The sequence below is a fragment of the Homo sapiens genome, chromosome 17 (assembly GCF_000001405.40).
Source record: "Homo sapiens chromosome 17, GRCh38.p14 Primary Assembly".
NCBI lineage: Eukaryota > Metazoa > Chordata > Mammalia > Primates > Hominidae > Homo > Homo sapiens.
In genome coordinates this window covers 55,079,117-55,098,659 of record NC_000017.11, presented here as the reverse complement: position 1 = coordinate 55,098,659, position 19,543 = coordinate 55,079,117, and the positions used below count along the sequence as shown (strand labels likewise).

The 19,543-nt window shown below is 36.2% G+C and overlaps 1 protein-coding gene and 1 long non-coding RNA gene across 13 annotated transcripts in view, besides 1 other annotated feature; both read right to left on the bottom strand.

Moving 5' to 3' along the window:
- The window catches only part of STXBP4 (syntaxin binding protein 4), a 244,509-nt gene that overhangs the window by 114,614 nt on the left and 110,352 nt on the right, over positions 1–19,543 (bottom strand). For all 12 annotated transcript variants that reach the window (XR_007065289.1, XM_047435714.1, XM_017024410.2 and 9 more), the window contains one exon: positions 17,477–17,610. Coding sequence is in view for 11 of the 12 variants with exons in the window: in XM_047435714.1 (XP_047291670.1) it covers positions 17,477–17,610 (134 nt within the window). In the remaining variant the exon portion in view is untranslated. The remainder of the gene's footprint in view (positions 1–17,476; positions 17,611–19,543) is intronic.
- LOC107985002 (uncharacterized) lies at positions 4,467–17,470 on the bottom strand. The gene is made up of 2 exons (XR_001752943.2): positions 5,986–17,470; positions 4,467–4,854 (listed from the first exon to the last, which is right to left on the bottom strand). It is a non-coding gene; the product is annotated as an uncharacterized LOC107985002 (long non-coding RNA).
- Positions 8,417–8,516: an enhancer, noted in NCBI's record as "active region_12413". NCBI's record gives its function as "activates an Ori minimal core promoter by ATAC-STARR-seq in GM12878 lymphoblastoid cells {active_cell/tissue: GM12878}" and the evidence as "EXISTENCE:reporter gene assay evidence [ECO:0000049][PMID:35858748]".

Here is a 19,543-nt window from a genome sequence, read left to right as displayed (position 1 = left end):
CTCTCAATCCAAACTATCCTCTTTGCTTTTCTCAAACACATCAGGCACACTCCTGCCTCAGGGCCTTTCCACTTGCTGTTCCCTCTGTCTGGAACACTTTTCCTTCAGAGAGCTATATGGCTTACTCCTGCCTCACATGGATGAAATGCCTGTGAATATCTAGTTTATGGGTTTGCAGAGAGCTACTGGGTATTTAGACCTCATTCCTATGCAATTTTAGTATTTCCATTTTCTAAACAAGTTCAGCAAGGCCTCCTTCATTCCATATATAAGACTGTATGAAATGTTTCCAGAGGGCCTTTGAGGCTGCTAGTTAGACATAAACTTCTTTATTATTTCAATCTTTATATCCATTAAGTAAATTTGAGTTGAAGACTGGTTTCCTACCCAAAATTACTGCCACTTGAAAGCATGAAATGTTACTTTGCAATTGCTTTCCAGGGTTTTAGCACACGGTTTCTCACGTGTTCTCAGAGAAGTAATGTAACGATAGATCATATAAATCGACATTAGTAGAAATTGTTCATTATCTTCCAGGGTTTCCAGTTCTCAAAAAAAAGGAGGTGCGGAAGAGAATGGTTTAAGGCTGTAAGGACAAAATAATCCTTTTACACAATGACAATGAACAAAGAAGATTATAATGATGATGATGATAATGGTGATATTAAGTACCTACCAGATGTGAGCCATAATATTTTCAATGAGCTGGCCACTTCAGATACATTAGCTTTAATCCTCAGGACAACCCTATGGATTGGTGATATCTCCATCTTCATAGATGAAAAAAAATGAGACTCAGCCAGCTTATAGAATTCTCAAAGCCAAATCTATTATGCCATAGAGTTGGCATTGGAACCTTATAGCGTATGATCTTTTCACTACTCTGCTTCTCTACAAGTAAAAATGAATCTACTTTTTTGATAAAAATAGAATTAGGGTGTGAACTAATTTATTTCATTTATCTGTAGTAAAAACTACAGGCAATTTTTTTTTTTTTGAGATGGAGTCTTGCTCTGTTGCCCAGGCTGGAGTGCAGTGGCACAACCTCAGCTCATTGCAAGCTCCGCCTCCCGGGTTCATGCCATTCTCCTGCCTCAGCCTCCTGAGTAGCTGATACTACAGGCACCCGCCACCACGCCCAGCTAATTTTTTATATTTTTAGTAGAGACGGGGTTTCACCGTGTTAGCCAGGATGGTCTCGATCTCCTGACCTCGTGATCCGCCCGCCTTGGCCCCCCAAAGTGCTGGGATTACAGGCATGAGCCACCGCGCCCGGTCAACTACAGGCAATTTTTTACAAATGTTACTTTATTTTTATCCTATAATGCTTAGAGACAAATACATCATTTTTACCATTTTATAAATGGGGCAAAAGTGAGGTTGAATAATTTACTTAAGGTTGTAAAATAACTTGTCTAAGAAGCAAGTTTTCTCACTCTGAATATTTTCCCTATTCTACTTTTGACTTTAACTTTCATTAGATTCTGCAGTTATTATAAAAGAAATGAGAAACACAAATAGCACTGTGTAGTCCCAAGAACTAATTGCTTTATAATTTTTATCAATAATGCTGGTTGGATAAGGTCTCACATTTTCAGAAAAAAAATATTAAAGATTCAGTTGTTGACTTTACATCTTCATTTTTTTTCATTCAACAAAGATTTATTATTTATTTATTATGAGGTCAGCACAGTGTTTGTCACTAAAGATGCAAAGCAGTTTAGGACAAAATTCAGTGAGAAGAAAAACATACAAATAGATAATTACAAGGCAATATGAAAAGAGCAATAATACAGGTTTGAGCAAAGAGCTATTAACTCTGTCTGGAGGTTTAAGCTCACTTTATGGAGGAGTGCATCCCCAGTTTTAAGGTCTTTACCTAGGAACATTTATTATTACCTTTTTATGTATTGTTACGCAAATAGTCCCAAAGAGAGCTTTTGTTTCTTACTGTGAGATCTCCATGATGCTTAAAAATTCTTTTACTTAAAAAAATAAGCTTTAAAGTTCAGCAGTAACAAATGCTTATTCTTAAAAAAAAAAAAAAGCAATATGAAAGTTTCCAATAAAAAAACAGATAATCTCCCAATCCTATCTCCTGAGAAAATCAATGTTATCAATGAGGGAGATATCTTATAGCAGATTGAAAACTACTAAAGCTTCTTGAGGCAATGCAATCTATTGCTTTATCCTGAATATTTGTAAGTCATGAAAATTAGGTAAGATGAGGTATATTTTATTGAATGATTCGAATTAAAATAAAAAGTGAACTCTAAAACATAAACTCCAGCCTGGACAACATGGCAAAATCCCATCTCTACAAAAAATACCAAAAAATTAGCTAGGCGTGGTGGTGTGTGCCTGCAGTTCCAGCTACTTAGGAGGCTGAGGTGGGAGGATCACCTGAGCCAGGGAGATTGAGGCTGCAGTGAGCTGTGATCACACCACTGCACTCCAGCATGGGCAACAGCATGAACCTTGTCTAAAAACACAAAACAAAACAAAACCCAAACACACAAAACCCCCATAAACCTATAGTTACAGAGCAAAACACTTTCATAGTAGGTCACTTAATCCTTGAGAAAATCATATGAAGACTGTACCCTGACTTCAGAGACAGGAAGCGAATACTCAGAGAGGTCATCATATTTCACCAAATCTAAGGTGCCATCAATTATAACACACCATGCTATTTCATATACTTTAAAAGAGAAAAAAATAATTACCAGTTCAATTGTGACATCATGTCTTAACTATATTTCTATGAGACTCACAGGATTTATTAGGAACCCTGGACAGAGAATTAGAAGACCTGAATTATGATTCTGACATTGTCCTTTCCAAACTTGTGACTTAAGTAAATCATTAAGTTCTATGAGCTTTGATCTTTCCATATAGTTTAAATTAAAAAGAATAATGTCTCTCTCACAGGGTTGCTGTGAGGACATATTAATATAAAACAGAACTTTAGAACTGCAAAACTGATAAAAATTTAAAACCTTCTATGTCAATGTTATTTTTAAAAATATTACCTGCAACAGTAATATTAATACTCTGTTGTTGAAGGCAGGAACTGAACTTCTGGATCTGAATTGAACTATTTTATCATGATAAATAATTATGAAGACTGTTACTGCACACATTTTAGTACTGCTGCCTTTTCTGAGATGAGCTGTTAATACTTTGTCCTCATGTGAACTCTGGAAAATACCTATTCCACTAACCCAAAATAAGGCATTCAGTTTGGAAGAGGAGATTTTCAGGCCTTGCGGGAGGATGTTTCTTTCTGGCATCATTTACATTTTGTTTGTCCAGTTATAGGACTGAAACACACACTATACTTTAGGCATTCTATCATTATAGTCAGTTCTAATTGTGAAAGGAATCAGAGTTTCATCTTTTGAAAAAGTGATAATTGACTATATTTTACCACTCATGCCTTCTACAATCTTAGAAGCAGTCCTTGCATTTTTTCTGCCTTTGTGCTTGAAACCATTTAATGTGATAGACTGTTCACCATGTTAGTAGTAAGGTATATAGATTTTACTTGATTAAGTACTAGATAGTACACATCCTGCAATCCCCTTGACAACTACTATATTCCTGCCTGTAGTGAGAATTAAGTCTTGCTTGTCTAGCTGTGCCTTCATATCTTAATGCTATCGGTATGTGATTAAAGTATCACAGAAACCTGAAATAGTTTCTTGGAAATGATCTTCTGTGAAAACTCACAATATGTGGGAGCTTTGGGATTGATTCACACTAGATATTTGTTTTTGTATGTTAAACACTAGGAACATCATGGCTTCCTGATTTTTATGACTGAAGAACTGTCTATGTTTGCTTCCTGTGTACCAATACAGATTAGTAGATTGCTGCTATGTATCTGGTGGTATTAAAGAATTTCAGCGCTTTTTAAGGAATTTGTTTGATGAAAAAAGCAAATATCCAATAGTTGATTAGTGCAGAGAAGGCACAATAGAAAAACATGGGGTAGTCTAAGATCCAAGATGACAGCAGATCTGTCTGTGCTACCGGACTTTTTTTTACTCATTGAAACAATATGCACATGAATAGGAAAGTTTAAAAATTAACACCGAATTTCAGGCGTTCCAAAAAGTTATACATGCTGACACACTACTAATCCTTTTTAAAAAATAAATATTTGTTAGCTGTTACTTCAAACTGAGCCCAAGTTACCACCATCTCCCACCTCAATCACTGCAATAGCCACCTAGTCTTCCTGCTTTCTTCACTCTTGCTACTCTTAGAGCCCAGTTTTAAACAAACACCCAAAGGATCTTTTAAAATGTAGACCATATCATGTTACTCCTTGTGCCTTCCTACGACACTTAAAATAAAATCCAAACTCCTTAGTATGGTGTTCAAAGCCTTGTATTATCTGGCTTCTTGCTACATATCCACCCTTATCGCATGCTGTTCTCCTGCTTGCTCATACGTATTAGATACACTGGCTTTTTTTTTTTTTTTTTTCCTGTCCCTCAAGTATGTCAAGTTTGTTCCTATCTCACAGCATTTGTACTGGGCCTGAAAGGTCCTTCCCATAGTTTTTGTTCCTGGCTGAGTCTGGGATGCAATGTTACCTCTTCAAAGAAGACTTATTTGTCAATTAATCTAATGTAGCATCTCCACTTACTCATCTTTCCTAATACATAATCTGGTTTTATTATGTGCATAACACTCATCACTGTCTACAATTACGTTTTCTATTTATTTGTGAACTTGCTTGTCCATCTCTGCCCACTACAATTTACCTAAGCAGCTTGATAGCAAGGGCCTTGTTTGTGTTGTTATCCTAGGGTCTGGCCCATTGTAGACACTCAACAAATAGTTCTGGAAGGAAGGAAATAATGAATGTAAATCATTACCTTTTCTTAAGCGATATGTTTTTCTCTTTAACTCATTTTTTCTGGAAATAAAATTGTACTAGGAAAAGAATTATTTCTCTTGTTGCTGGCAATAATTTGCCAACTTAAAACTCCCAAGATTAAATTTGATATATTTTCTTAATGGAACCTTACAACAGTGACCTACTTTCAGTTTGAAACAACACAGGAGAATATGTGAGTTCGCCATTTCCTTGAATGGCAAAATGCCACAAATATTTGTTGTGGTTATTATCTGGCTTTGAATAATCAAGTCACCAGAGAACAGGGCTGTTTTACAAAAACAGGTAAAATTTCTCTCAAGTGACACAGAATCATATAATAAGCTATTATCTAATGCTTGGAACATCACCCCAATTCTAGGAGAAGAAATAGCATAATTACTTTGTGTAGAGGAAAATACCATAATGTCCATTCTAAATATTAATAGTATAGCTGACTTTCATTAAAGAAACACAGTTTTGGCTGGGTGCGGTGACTCATGCCTATTATCCCAGCACTTTGGGAGGCCGAGGGGGGCAGATCACTTGTGTGTGTTCAAGACCAGCCGGGCCAATGTGGCAAAACCCATCTCTACTAAGAATACAAAACTTAGCTGGGCATGGTGGAGTACACCTGTAATCCCAGCTACTTGGGAAGCTGAGGCACGAGAATCGCTTGAACCCAGGAGGCAGAGGTTGCAGTGAGCCGAGATTGCGCCACTGCACTCCAGCTTGGGCAATAGAGAGAGACCCTGTCTCCAAAAAACAAAAAACAAAAAACAAACAAAAAACAAAAAACAAAAAAAATGTTTTTTTGTTTAATAAATTCATGCTTCTTAATAAATATATGCTCTGGGGGAAATGAGGAAAAGAATGATGAATGTCTGAGGTCCAGAATAAGTAGAATGAGAAGACGCCATATCAAGTCTAAGCTTTAGCTCCTAAAGAAGGGAAGAATTTAAAAGATAAATCCCATCAAGGCCTTTAAAATGTTACAGTACTGCCTTTCCCCTTTTTCTCATAAAACCTTTTCTAATCTGCTTAAGTAACTTCTAATTAGCTTCAGATGTAACAGAAAAAAGGCAGCTACTACTCACATTCTTCTTAAAAGGTAATATATTGCTGATTTCAGATAGGAACATCTGAAGTGATGCAGGAGACTTGCACAGACAAATACATGCAATCAGATGGTCACTGCTTGACAGTCTTATTTTTCAATTGGTTGAGTAAAAATAACATAGTTATTGAATCAACCTGTAAAAGTTGAACATCCATTTCTTTTGTTGCCTAAAATAATATGCCAAAGATTTTTCAGAGTAATGAGACCTACTAAATTACATGGTTGTTAATAAAATACAAAATCATAATCTTTCTTTACTGAGAGAAATTAGGACTTTTTTTACTGTTAATAGAAATATTTTCAAAATGTTATGTATTTCATTTCATTTATTTATTTATTGTTATTTCAATAGTTTTGGGGGAACAGGTGGTGTTTGGTTACATGGATAAGTTCTTTAGGTGTGATTTCTGAGGTTTTGGTGCAGCCATCACTTGAGCAGTGTACACTGCACCCAATGTGTAGTCTTTTATCCCTTAACCCCCTCCCAGCCTTCCTACTAAGTCCCCAGAGTCCATTGTGTCATTCTTAGTCTTTGCGTCCTCATATCTTAGCTCCCACTTATAAGTGAAAAGATAATGATGTTTGGCTTTCCATTCCTGAGTTACTTCCGTTAGAATAATGGTAACATCCATATTTTTGATATTACAGGTTGAGTACCCTTATCTGAGATGCTTGGACCAGAAGTATTTTGGATTTTGGAATACTTGCATATACATAATGAGGTACCTTAGGAATGGGACCCAAGACTACAACATACAATTCATTTGTTTCATAAGCACCTTTTACACAGCTTTTATAGAATATTTGTAACAATTCTGTGCGTGAACCAAATTTGTGATCATTGAACCATCAGAAAGTAAAGGTGTCACTATTCTGGTCACAATTCTGTGCGTGAACCAAACTTGTGATCATTGAACCATCAGAAAGTAAAGGTGTCACTATTCTGGTCACCCATGTGGACAATCTGTGGTTGTTTGGCATCACCATCATGCTTGCTCAGAAAAAAATATATCAAAGCTGAAGTGGGCTGGGAGGGTGTTTTGTTTTGTTTTGTTAGTTTTTTTTCTCTTGGGGACGCTGAATAAACTGTGTTATGCTCCTGTGTTTTGACTACCACCCATCACATGAGGTCAGGTGTGAAATTTTCCACTTCTGGGGCCATATCTGCACTCAAAAGTTTTGGATTTTGGGGCATTTCAAATTTGGGATTTCAGATTTGGGATGTTCAATCTGTATAAGAAATGCAGTAATAAAAATACATGTATATACTTATACACATCTTTTTTGCAAAAAAAATAGTAACAGGTGGGATTATTGAGTGAGAATATATGACCATTAAAAACATTTTAACTTTCAAAAAAACCTTCCAAATGGATATTTAAAAAGCTCTTGATATATACTGCAAAACGGATTCCCAAGGATGTCATGCCAATTTATATTCCCCACCTGTAGTGGATGAAATGTTTACTTTCAACTTTAATTAGTGGCAGGCCCAGATGGCTCATAAACTGGAGGGATTTTTTAAAATGCCTAATACATGAGCAATTTAAGAAAATAAAGTATATTCTCTACAGAAGGATTCCCGCTCCTTGCTTCCTTTGCTTAGGCATCATTTAGGGCCTCTTGGGTGTAGAAACCTTAGCTCCAATTGCTGATCTCAATTCTGTGAAATCTCTGAAGCTTAAAATCCTACTTATCATGATAGTTTCATATTGTTTCTGATGCAGGGTGATATTCCTTTCTTGTTTTTTATCTAAACACACACACACACACACACACACACACACACACACACAGACACACACACACACACACAATTTAAAATGTCATTTCTATGTGTAAGAGCAGAATGGGAAGGTTTTAGCATGAGATCCCTCTTCTATCTTGATCCTGAAGTCCACTATGAATCTTGAGAGCTGTATTTCCTGGCTTTATTTGTGGACCTTTTCACAATCATATATTTATATGTATATGTATGCATTTGTTTATAAGAGCTAGAATAGCCTGAATGAGATGTGTGTGTATATATACACATTATATATGTTATACATTTTTATTCATAAAAGCTTGAATTTAGAGAGCTCTCTACTCAGAACTGGTTTTTGACCTTTTAAAGAATGTGTAGACCCTTTGATTGCCCTAAAATTTGACCAAATTGTTGTTGGAATTACCCTCTCAAACCTCTGGGTGAAATGTACCTTTGCATTGTGAGTTTAAGGATGACTCAGCAGTCTGAGTGGGGTGAAAAGTGACTTAGAACAAGAGGTGGCTGCGCAGAGTGATGTGGCTTTTGGTGCTGAAGCTGTCGTGCCAACTCCTCTTACATTTAAAGCTTCCTGTATGCCCCAGTGTCTGTCAGATCTAAAGTGTGTCTCCACTTTCTAAAGGATCAAGCCCCAGTTGTCCTTCTGCTTGACAAATAATCTGTGTGAACCTGAGGATTTCAACAAATGCCACTGACTCACTAAGATAAAAAAGAGTGAAAAGAGATCGTCTGCCCCCTACCCCCAGCCTGTCTTTGACTTTATTCATTACTCCTTCAAATCAGAACATATTAAGAGTGTCCTCCTGCCAGGGTTCCTGCCAGTCAGTTATTCCCACAATCGTTACTGTTGTTTAGCAGTGGGAGTAACAGGTTGGCCCTTCCTGCTTTCCATCCATGTGGTCCTATCTCTCCTATATTAAAAAGATTTTAGGATTCACCTGTAACAGCTAGTGCTTTTGAAGATTTTTGCCCTATTTTGTATTCTAGTTATCATTTCCATGAGGCCTGAAGGAAGGTAGTTAAAGGCCTGTGCTTATGCTGTCAATTTAACAAGAAGTCAATATATTCTCTTTTTATTAAAGACCTCATATGGGTTACCTGGCCAGATTTTTTCTTATTATGCATTTCTAAAGATAGAACTGCCTCTTTATGCTTTTGTTACATAATCATTTTGTCAATCTATATGTCAGTTAAACAGAAATTGCAGTTCTGAACATGTAGTTCAAAACTATTTTATTTCAAATAGAAACTACACAAAGGCATTATAATGATATAGAACATGTAAATATAAGGAGATCAATAGAAGCATCTCCAGGGGTTCCAATACTGATTAAAAATGCCTATTCTGTTTTCAGACTGTTTTCACTGTGAATAATGACAGAACAGACAAAAGTTTCCTCACAGTTAGCAATAAACAACTGAAAGATAAGATGCTGATTAAGACATTTAGCCACAGTTTCCGGTGACAATTACATTCTAACACAACATCAATAATAACATTAAATGATACATATTATGAAAAGCTCTCATCTACCATATTTTCAAATGTATCCAAGTTGAAAGAAGCTTTAGACAATAATAATTTAATACCTACCACAGCGAGAAAGTAAAATTAAATTAATTACTTTAAATAACAATAATGTGGCACCAGCAGTAGTCATGGCAGTGGCAGCAGCAGCAACAACAACAACAACATCCATACAGGGAACATCTTACCCTACCAGAGGCTCTTTTGGGAATTTCATATGTACTACATTTAATCTTTCAATCCTGCCACTTTGATATTATGAGATCCACTTTTTATATGCAAAAACAGACCTAGAAATTAAGCAATTTGGCCAATGAAATTGGATGAACAATTGGGGTGCTCTGTGGAGCATCTCTAAGGAACATCAGAGATTCTGTGGAGCATTGTTTACATGTATTCAAACTGCTGCTTCCTTCCAGGCTGCCTCTATGATTTACACACTTCTCTACTGTTAGAGGTATTCTGGTGAGGCTGGGATGGCCATGTATGCAATGATGTGGAAAGCATTCATGTTCCTTATACATGGGAGAGTCCTAGGTCGGGGTTCATAAATACTCTGAAAATGGATCCAAAATGTGTATAATCTCACATTTCTGGGAAGAAGATTTTCATCAGATTTCAATGGAGTCCACAATCCAGGAAAGCTTTAGAATTGTCTTCTAGGCCTGGCACGGTGGCTCACGCCTGTAATCCCAGCACTTTGGGAGGCTGAGGCAGGTGGATTACCTGAGGTCAGGAGTTTGAGACCAGCCTGACCAACATGGTGAAAACCTGTCTCTACTAAAAATACAAAAATTAGCCAGGTGTGGTGGCAGGCACCTGTAATCCCAGCTACTCAGGAGGCTGAGGCAAGGAGAATTGCTTGAACCTGGGAGGCGGAGTTTGTGGTGAGCCAGGATCACATCATTGTACTCCAGCCCGGGCAACAGAATTGTCTTCTAGATATTCCTTAGAGCCTGGTTTTAAGCTGTAAGAGCCAATAAATCTTATCCTTCAGCTTTCTGAGAAAATCCCATAGTATAACATCCTAGAGAACACTTATATTAAGAAGAAAGTAGAGGCAATTACCCAAGTAAAAATTTCAAATTGTAACTTGAAATAACCAGATAGCCAAGGCAAAGAAAGAAAATGAGGGAGGGGTTGTGGCTGAATTATCTACCTCATGGTAGTAATTTTGTTTTCCATGCAGAAAAAGCTGCTGCTTAAAGAGAAAGAAAATCAGCTGAATTTAATCTGAATTATTAAACTTGAAAAGCTATGTCATACAAATTTATAAAAAGTACTGGCAAAATGTGCCAACATTAGCAATTATATTTCTAAATAAAAGGACAACATAGATTTGCTAGTTTTAAACATCAAAGCATAACCCTTGCAAGAGGTAATACCTCTATAAGGAAAACTATAAAATGCTCATGGGAAAACTACAAAATGCTCATGGAAGAAACTGAAGAGGCTATAAACAAATGGAAGGATATCCCATGCTCACAGATCAGAATAATTATTAATAGTACTGTTAAAATAACAATACTACCCAAAGCAATCTACACATTCAATATAATACCCATCAAAATACCAATGACATTCTTCACGGAAACAGAAAAAAATTCTAAAATTTTAATGGAACCACAAGAGACCCTGAAGAGCCAAAGCAAACCTGAGCAAAAACAACAAAGCTGGAAACATCACACTACCAGACTTCAAAATATACTACAAAGCTGCAGTAACCAAAACAGCATGGGACCGGCCTAAAATCACACAGACCAATGAAACAGAATAGACAACCCAGAAATTAATCCACATATTTACAGCCAACTGATTTTTGACAAAGGTGCCAAAAGCATTGGGAAAGGATAGTCTCTTCAACAAACGGTACTGGAAAAACTGGATATCCATATGCAGATGAATGACCCTATACAAAAATCAACTCAAAATGAAGCAAAGACCTAAATGTAAGATCTGAATATAAAACTACTAGGAGAAAAAAATAGGGGAAACACTTCAAGACAATGGTCTGGGAAAAGATTTTATGAATGAGACCTCAAAAGCACAGGCAACAAAAGCAAAATAAACAAATGAGATTATATCAAACTAAAGACCTTCTGCACAGCAAAGGTAACAATCAAGAGTGAAAAGACAACCTATAGAATTGGAGACAATATTTGCAAACTACTCTTCTGACAGGGAATTAATATTCAGAATACACAAGGAACTCAAACTACTAGCAGAAAACCAACAGCAAAAAACCAATCAATCTGATTTAAAAAGTGAGCAAATGATCTGAACAGACATTTCCCAAAAGAAGACATACAAATGGCCAGCAAATAGATGAAAAATGCTCAACATCACTAATCGTCAGGGAAATGCAAATCAAATCCACAATGAGTTACCATCTCACCCTAGTTAAGATGACTATTATCAAAAACACAGAAAGTAAATGCTGGAGAAGATGCAGAGAAAAGGGAACCCTTGTACACCACTGGTGGGAATGTAAACTAGTAAAGCCACTATGGAGATCAGTATAAAGGTTCCTCAAAAAACAAAAATAGAACTACAATATGAGTCAGCAATCCTACTACTGGGCATTTATCCAAAGAAAAGAAAGTCAGCATATTGAAGAGACATCCTGCCATGTGTATTGCAGCACTATTCACAATAGCCAAGATATGGAATCAACCTTAGTGTGCAACAACAGACGAATGGATAAGGAAAATGTGGTATGTGTGCGTGTCTCCATATACGAATAAAAAAGTTGATCTCACGGAAGTAAAAAGTAGAACAGAGGGTACTAGAGACTGGAAGGACACGGAGAACAGGGGGATAGGGAGAGATTTGTTAAAGGATAAAAAATTACAGCTAGATAGAAGGAATAAGTTCTAGTGTTCTATACTAGTGCAGGATGAGTATAGTTAACAATAATGTACTATATAGTTTGAAATAGCTAGAAGGAGGATATTGAATGTTCCCAACCAAAGGAAATGATCAATGTTTGAGATGATAGATATGCTAGTTACTCTTATCTGACTATTGTATATTATGTGTATCAAAATATCACTATGTACCCCATGCATACATACAATTATTACTTGTCAATTGAAAATAAAATTTAAATAAAATATAAAAAACCTGATTGCATAATTAATTTATAACCAGCCTGGAAATTACTGAGTATCATTGGGGAAAAAAAAGTGCTGATGAAATTTTTTACTTTTCTTCCAAATAAGTTCTGCAGAATTTCGAATATATTCTTTGAATAATCATGTTTGACAGATACTGAAGTTAATGTTAGCAAGATAATGAAAATTAATGATGGCAGTGTTCACTGGGCTATGTCTGTGCAGGTGTTTCCCTCCACTGTTGCCACCCCAACATAAAAATGTCTGATATATAAAATTCTGAACTTACACATAACACATTACGAGTGATTATTTTCATTCCTCCTAAAACCCACAGAATTTCTTCACATAATTAGCTCTTAGGAGTTTTTGATATATAATTTGATTTTTACAAATGTATTAGGTTATACAAATTTTTAAGTATATATTTATTGGGAAAACTGAGTAGACACTATGAGTGGCATAGTTTCCAATCCTCCATAACACAGTTGTGAAATCAGAACTTACCCCAGAGGGTCTTTGAATGTTACCCCATACCAAGCCAAGCCATCTATTACCCAGAACTGTACTGAAAACATCATTTTGATAGTTAATTAACATGGAACTTTACATCTTTCTTTCTCTCTTTCTCATTCTTTTTTCATCTATTCCCCAGCATAGGGAAGATTAAAAGTGGCAAACTAGAGGGATGGTGGAATGTTAGAAGCAAGCAGAAAGACAACTAGCAGGTAGGGTGACATTAGGGAAGAGACAGAAAAACAACCAAAATCTAACACACTAATCTACTAATATGCCATATATTAATGGGTACTTGTAATAATGATTATTGAGCCATCCCAACTAAATTAACTTGTATTTAACTTATACTAATGTATCACTTTTTTTTTATTATACTTTAAGTTTTAGGGTACATGTGCACAATATGCAGGTTAGTTACATATGTATACATGTGCCTTGCTGGTGCGCTGCACCCACTAACTCGTCATCTAGCATTAGGTATATCTCCCACTGCCATCCCTCCCCCCTCCACCCACCCCACAACAGTCCCCAGAGTGTGATGTTCCCCTTCCTGTGTCCATGTGTTCTCATTGTTCAATTCCCACCTATGAGTGAGAATATGCGGTGTTTGGTTTTTTGTTCTTGTGATAGTTTACTGAGAATGATGATTTCCAATTTCATCCATGTCCCTACAAAGGACACGAACTCATCATTTTTATGGCTGCATAGTATTCCATGGTGTGTATGTGCCACATTTTCTTAATCCAGTCTATCATTGTTGGACATTTGGGTTGGTTCCAAGTCTTTGCTATTGTGAATAATGCCGCAATAAACATACATGTGCATGTGTCTTTATAGCAGCATGATTTATAGTCCTTTGGTTATATACTGGTACCAAAACAGAGATATAGATCAATGGAACAGAACAGAGCCCTCAGAAATAACGCCGCATATCTACAACTATCTGATCTTTGACAAACCTGACAAAAACAAGAAATGGGGAAAGGATTCTCTATTTAATAAATGGTGCTGGGAAAACTGGCTAGCCATATGTAGAAAGCTGAAACTGGATCCCTTCCTTACACCTTATACAAAAATCAATTCAAGATGGATTAAAGACTTAAACGTTAGACCTAAAACCATAAAAACCCTAGAAGAAAACCTAGGCATTACCATTCAGGACATAGGCATGGGCAAGGACTTCATGTCTAAAACACCAAAAGCAATGGCAACAAAAGCCAAAATTGACAAATGGGATCTAATTAAACTAAAGAGCTTCTGCACAGCAAAAGAAACTACCATCAGAAAGAACAGGCAACCTACAAAATGGGAGAAAATTTTCGCAACCTACTCATCTGACAAAGGGCTAATATCCAGAATCTACAATGAATTCAAACAAATTTACAAGAAAAAAGCAAACAACCCCATCAAAAAGTGGGCAAAGGACATGAACAGACACTTCTCTAAAGAAGACATTTATGCAGCCAAAAAACACATGAAAAAATGCTCACCATCACTGGCCATCAGAGAAATGCAAAGCAAAACCACAATGAGATACCATCTCACACCAGTTAGAATGGCAATCATTAAAAAGTCAGGAAACAACAGGTGCTGGAGAGGATGTGGAGAAATAGGAACACTTTTACACTGTTGGTGGGACTGTAAACTAGTTCAACCATTGTGGAAGTCAGTGTGGCGATTCCTCAGGGATCTAGAACTAGAAATACCATTTGACCCAGTAATGTATCACATATTATTCTCCAAAGATGGCCACAATAATAACTTCTGACTATATGCTCTTCTATAAAGAGACCTTGTCACTTTCCCATACACGGGTGGAGTCTAAGTCCCATCCCCTCAAATTTGCATTGATGAATAGAATATGGTGAAAGCGAGGCTGTGTGACTTCTGAGGCTGGGTCATAAAAGGTGATACAGCTTTTGTCTTGTTCACTGAAACACCTATGCTGGAGCCTTGAGCCACCACATAAGAAATTCAACTACCTTGAGGTCACCATGCTAGGGAGGCCAAATATAGGTAGGTGTTCCAGTTGATAGCCACAGATGAGCTCCCATCTTAGATGTCCAGCCCAGTAGAGTCATCAGATATTGCATCCCCAACAGACATCTGACTGCAACCACGTGAGAGTGCTCTAACATGAGCTGCCTAGCTGAGCGCAATTAACCAAAAGGACCATGAGAGACAATACTAAATTGTTGGTTTAAGCCATTAACTTTTGGGTTGATTTGTTCTGCAGCAATGGTAAATGGAACAGCTTATTTTTAAAAAAGTGCTATGTACATAGTTCAACCACAATTCAAAACTTATTCCCGAGTATGTTTTTTGTGCTAGGAATGTGATAGGTAGGTGCTTCAAATAAATTATATTATTTAATAATCAAACAACTTTTTTGAGTAATATCTTCATTTAGTGAAAAAGGAGATGTAAAATACTTTTTAAAAGCTCTTTTCTGGCCGGGTGTGGTGGCTCATGGCTTTAATCCCAACACTTTGTGAGGCTGAGGTGGGTGGATTGCTTCAGTCCAGGAGTTCAAGACCAGGCCTGGGCAACATGGAGAGACCCTGTCTCTACTAAAAATAAAAAAATGCCAGGCATGGTGATGTACACCTGTGGTCTCAGCTACCTGAGAGGCTGAGACACCTGAACCTAGGGGTGGGAGTGATGGGGGATCGGGGAGGAGGAGGTTGCAATGAGCTGAGATCGAGCCACTGCACTCCAGCCTGGGTAATAAAGCAAGACCATGTCTTAAAAAAAAAAATGCTTTCTTGCATGCAACTACTTCTTGTGTTATGAATGCAATGTGTCATTGATTCTCTTTAAGGATAATAACTTCATTTTATTTCAAGAATATAATATAGCTATCTTCAGAATATTACATTATCTTTATTTAATTAAAGACTTTTTTTCTCTCTCTTCAGAATCTCCCTGTTATGCAGTTCTTCTCCCCCTGGACCATTATTAGGTGATTCTTGGTTGTTGGTTCATATTTTAAATAAGGATCAACAATAGAGGTTCCCACTAAGAATGGTATTGCACCTAGGGGGCATTTTTGGAAATTTGTGAGGCATTATCTATTGTCACAGTGTTTGGGGATATTTTTGGCATTTAGTGAAAGGGTACTAGGAATGCTAAACATCCTATCATTATTGGATACACTGAACGGTCCTGTGCAACAAAGAATTGTTCTGTGTCCTGTATAATGTTTAAATGTCCTACTAGATATTTATGGTGGTAAAAAATCTGTTTGTAATTACTAAAATCTGGAACAAAATTCCATTTTTAGATAAACTCCAAATATTTTTGCATAGTTTTAATATACATTAAATTTCCCAGGCTTGTACCTACTATATAAATTAATGGAAGATTTTACTTTCTTCTCTTCAGAACTTTACCATTGGTCACCATTTTGGACAATCATTTGGACATTACTGATGACAATCTGCTCATGCTATTTAAAATGACAACACAATGTTCCTGTATCAGTCTACATTCATGGTTGCCACATTTGTGGTGATTCTCTGTTTAGGTGCAGGCATCTGATGACTACATTATATATCCTAGTATAGCTGTACTAAAGCATTTATGTTTTGAAATATATATAATTTTATTATAAATCACCTCCCTCTTATTTCTCCTCTACAGTACATTAGCACATTGTTGATTTTTATAAATTATAGGTATAGTTAGGTAAATTATAATTTTCATTGCAGGAAAATAAAGAGTACGTAAGAAGTAGTTAGAAAAAGGGAGTTGAAATTCATAAAGAGACAAAAGTGTCTGGAGAGACACAAAAAGAAAAAGAGGAAAATGTCCAATCATTTAAGTTTTCCCCAAGGATTTCTCTGTCTGTTGGGATGATGGAAGTTACTTAGAGCATTGCCTTACTTCTCTTTCTAGCCCAATGATGACTCTAGGGGTATCTAGTGACAGTTCATGTAGTTCCTTTAGAGAGGTATTTTCCTGGCTCCAGCATAGGAGGATATGCCTGAGCCAGCAGCTCTGAAGACTAGGGAACTGGTTCAGCTATTCCAAGCCATTTAATTAATTACCCTGCTGACTGCCCCAGAGTCTGTTCCCAGTCTTCACTGTCTGTGATCCTGGGGTTTTTTCCATGGTTCTGCTTAACTCATCGTTTCAGCAGTTTTGTCTGTTATATTTGTGTTTTGGGGTCTTTTGCTCAGTTGGACTGTACATTTAATCTTATTCCACCTGTGGGATATTATTATTTAACAACAAGTTCCTCAATGCTGATTCCACTCCTCCAGTTTCCAGTGCTGCTGCGGATTGATTTTTACATTTATTCTGCCATTTCAAAGAAACTTTGGGTGGAAGTGGATGTAAAGGCATATCTTAATTAGAGCTTCATTCTGAGCCTTTACATAAAGGAAATATTCTCCTCCTATGATTGGTACATTAATATTTTTATTGATTAGGTATCAACTTTGCTGTAGGCAAGCCACTATAACGAAATTCAACTGTCTGACTTCAATTTGTTTTGTTAAATAAATTACTTTTAAAAAGTGAAAAAATGCAGAAAACTTACAATCCATATCAAGTAAGGCACGAACAGATTTAACAAGTTCCTTAGATTCAAGCGCCAGCGTTGCTGGGATGCTACGTCCATTCCTTCCCAGTGGTGTGAGGGAAGTCTGAGAAGCTAACACAGCTCTTCTTTCACTATGAAGGCAATAAAATAAAGTTGAACTTACTACACAATAAACAACATCTATCTTTACTAAATCTGAAGTTGTATCAGTTATAGATTTGTACAAAAATATTTATATTTCTGAGGAAATTATTTCATATAACCAAAATTGAAGTAATTCACATAAAACAATATTTCTGTTTTCAATTATTTACGACATAATAAGTAGAAATATTTTAAAATTAGGTTGACTTCATGTATGATAAAGAAGTAATAGAAGGATGACCTGTCTCCTAAATCATTTGTTGGGCTTATTTTGTGAGTGCTTCTCTTTTGCTAACATGATATAATTTTATTTAGTTCTGTATAAATTCAAATTAAGCATATAAACATGAATTTGTTAAAATACATTTATTATTACTTCTAGTAATATTAAATATAAATTCAATATATGTATTTGGCTCCTGAAATTATCTCTTAAATTATTCCATTTTTTGCCTCGAATCAAAAACAGCCTAGAGCATTTGTATCACTTTCAAAAAATGCAAATGTCACCTAAAATGAATGCATTCTGATCTAATTAAAAATTAAATGTTTTCTTCAAAAAATTACACTAAAACTTACTTGAAAAAAAAATTTAAACTGATGACAAAATCATCATTATTTATACTCCATCTTCCTAAGCATAATGATATTAATTCACAAAGGGTAACAAAAGCATCAGTTCTCAAATTCAAATACATAGCCTTTATTCTGTGTTGAATGACCAGGGCCAATATCCATGTAGAGGATATGCTATATTGAAATGACTGCACCAGTTTTTACTAGTGTTTAATTTACTAAGACACCATGAAATGTTGCGTGATGTAGCTATTTAAAGTTGTCTTTTTTTCCATGAAGCAGTTTAAGGCAAGGGCAGGCTCTGGCTTTTAAATAGTCATTTTAACCTTAATTTTTAAAACAAAACTTTTGAATTATTAGTCAAGGTAAAACTAAGACCTTGGAAAGCTGAGGGTGGGTGACACACTTAGCCCATAAAGAAATAAATGTGATTACTGATTATTTTAAGATCCTTACTGAGAGTAATAATCATGAAATTCACAGAGTTTTCTTGTATCATAAGCAGCAAGGAGAGTAAGAAGTTATGTCAGGTTCCTTCATCATAAGAAGTAAAACATTACTTGAGTTTAGAAGTGAATTATAAATATTCTTCTAAATTAAAAAATGCTATGTGGACACCAAAAATATCTTCACTTATTAAGCTGCTGTTTTCACAGTAAAGGGTAGAGTATTTATTTACTTTTTGAGACAGGGCATCACTATGTTATCCAGGCTGGAGGGCAGTGGTATGATCACAGCTCATTGCAGCCTCAATCTCCTAGAGCTCCTGGGCTCCAGCAATCCTCCTGCCTCAACCTCCCAAGTAGCTGGGAATATAGGAATGCACCATCCCATCTGGCTATTTCTTTTTTTTTTTTTTTTTGTAGAGATAGGGTCCCACTGTGTGCCACTATGTTCCTTGTCTCAAACTCCTGGGCTCAAGTGATCCCCCTGCCTCAGCCTCCCAAAATACTGGGATTACAGGTATGCACCATCACACCCAACCTCATTGAGTCTTCCTGTTTCTGCAAGCGTATATTGCTAGAAGTAGAAGATGTATCTAGGACTAGTGGCAGCTATTATGAGAGCAGAAAAAAATTACTTTGGAAATGCATAAACAAGAATCTTTCTTTTGTAAATGTCTTTCATCATGTATCAAAATGACCATAAACTTGTGGTTTGAAATAAATAAATTTGATTAGTATGTTTCCAGCTTCTAGTAAGAAACTTTAAATCCAAAACATATTATGAATAATGAGACAATCGAGGTATATTCTCCAAATATATTTCTTTTATTTATAGCTACTGAAAGATGAAAACGAAAGAAAATGATTGCATGAATATGTTTTCCAAAATTCTGTTTGC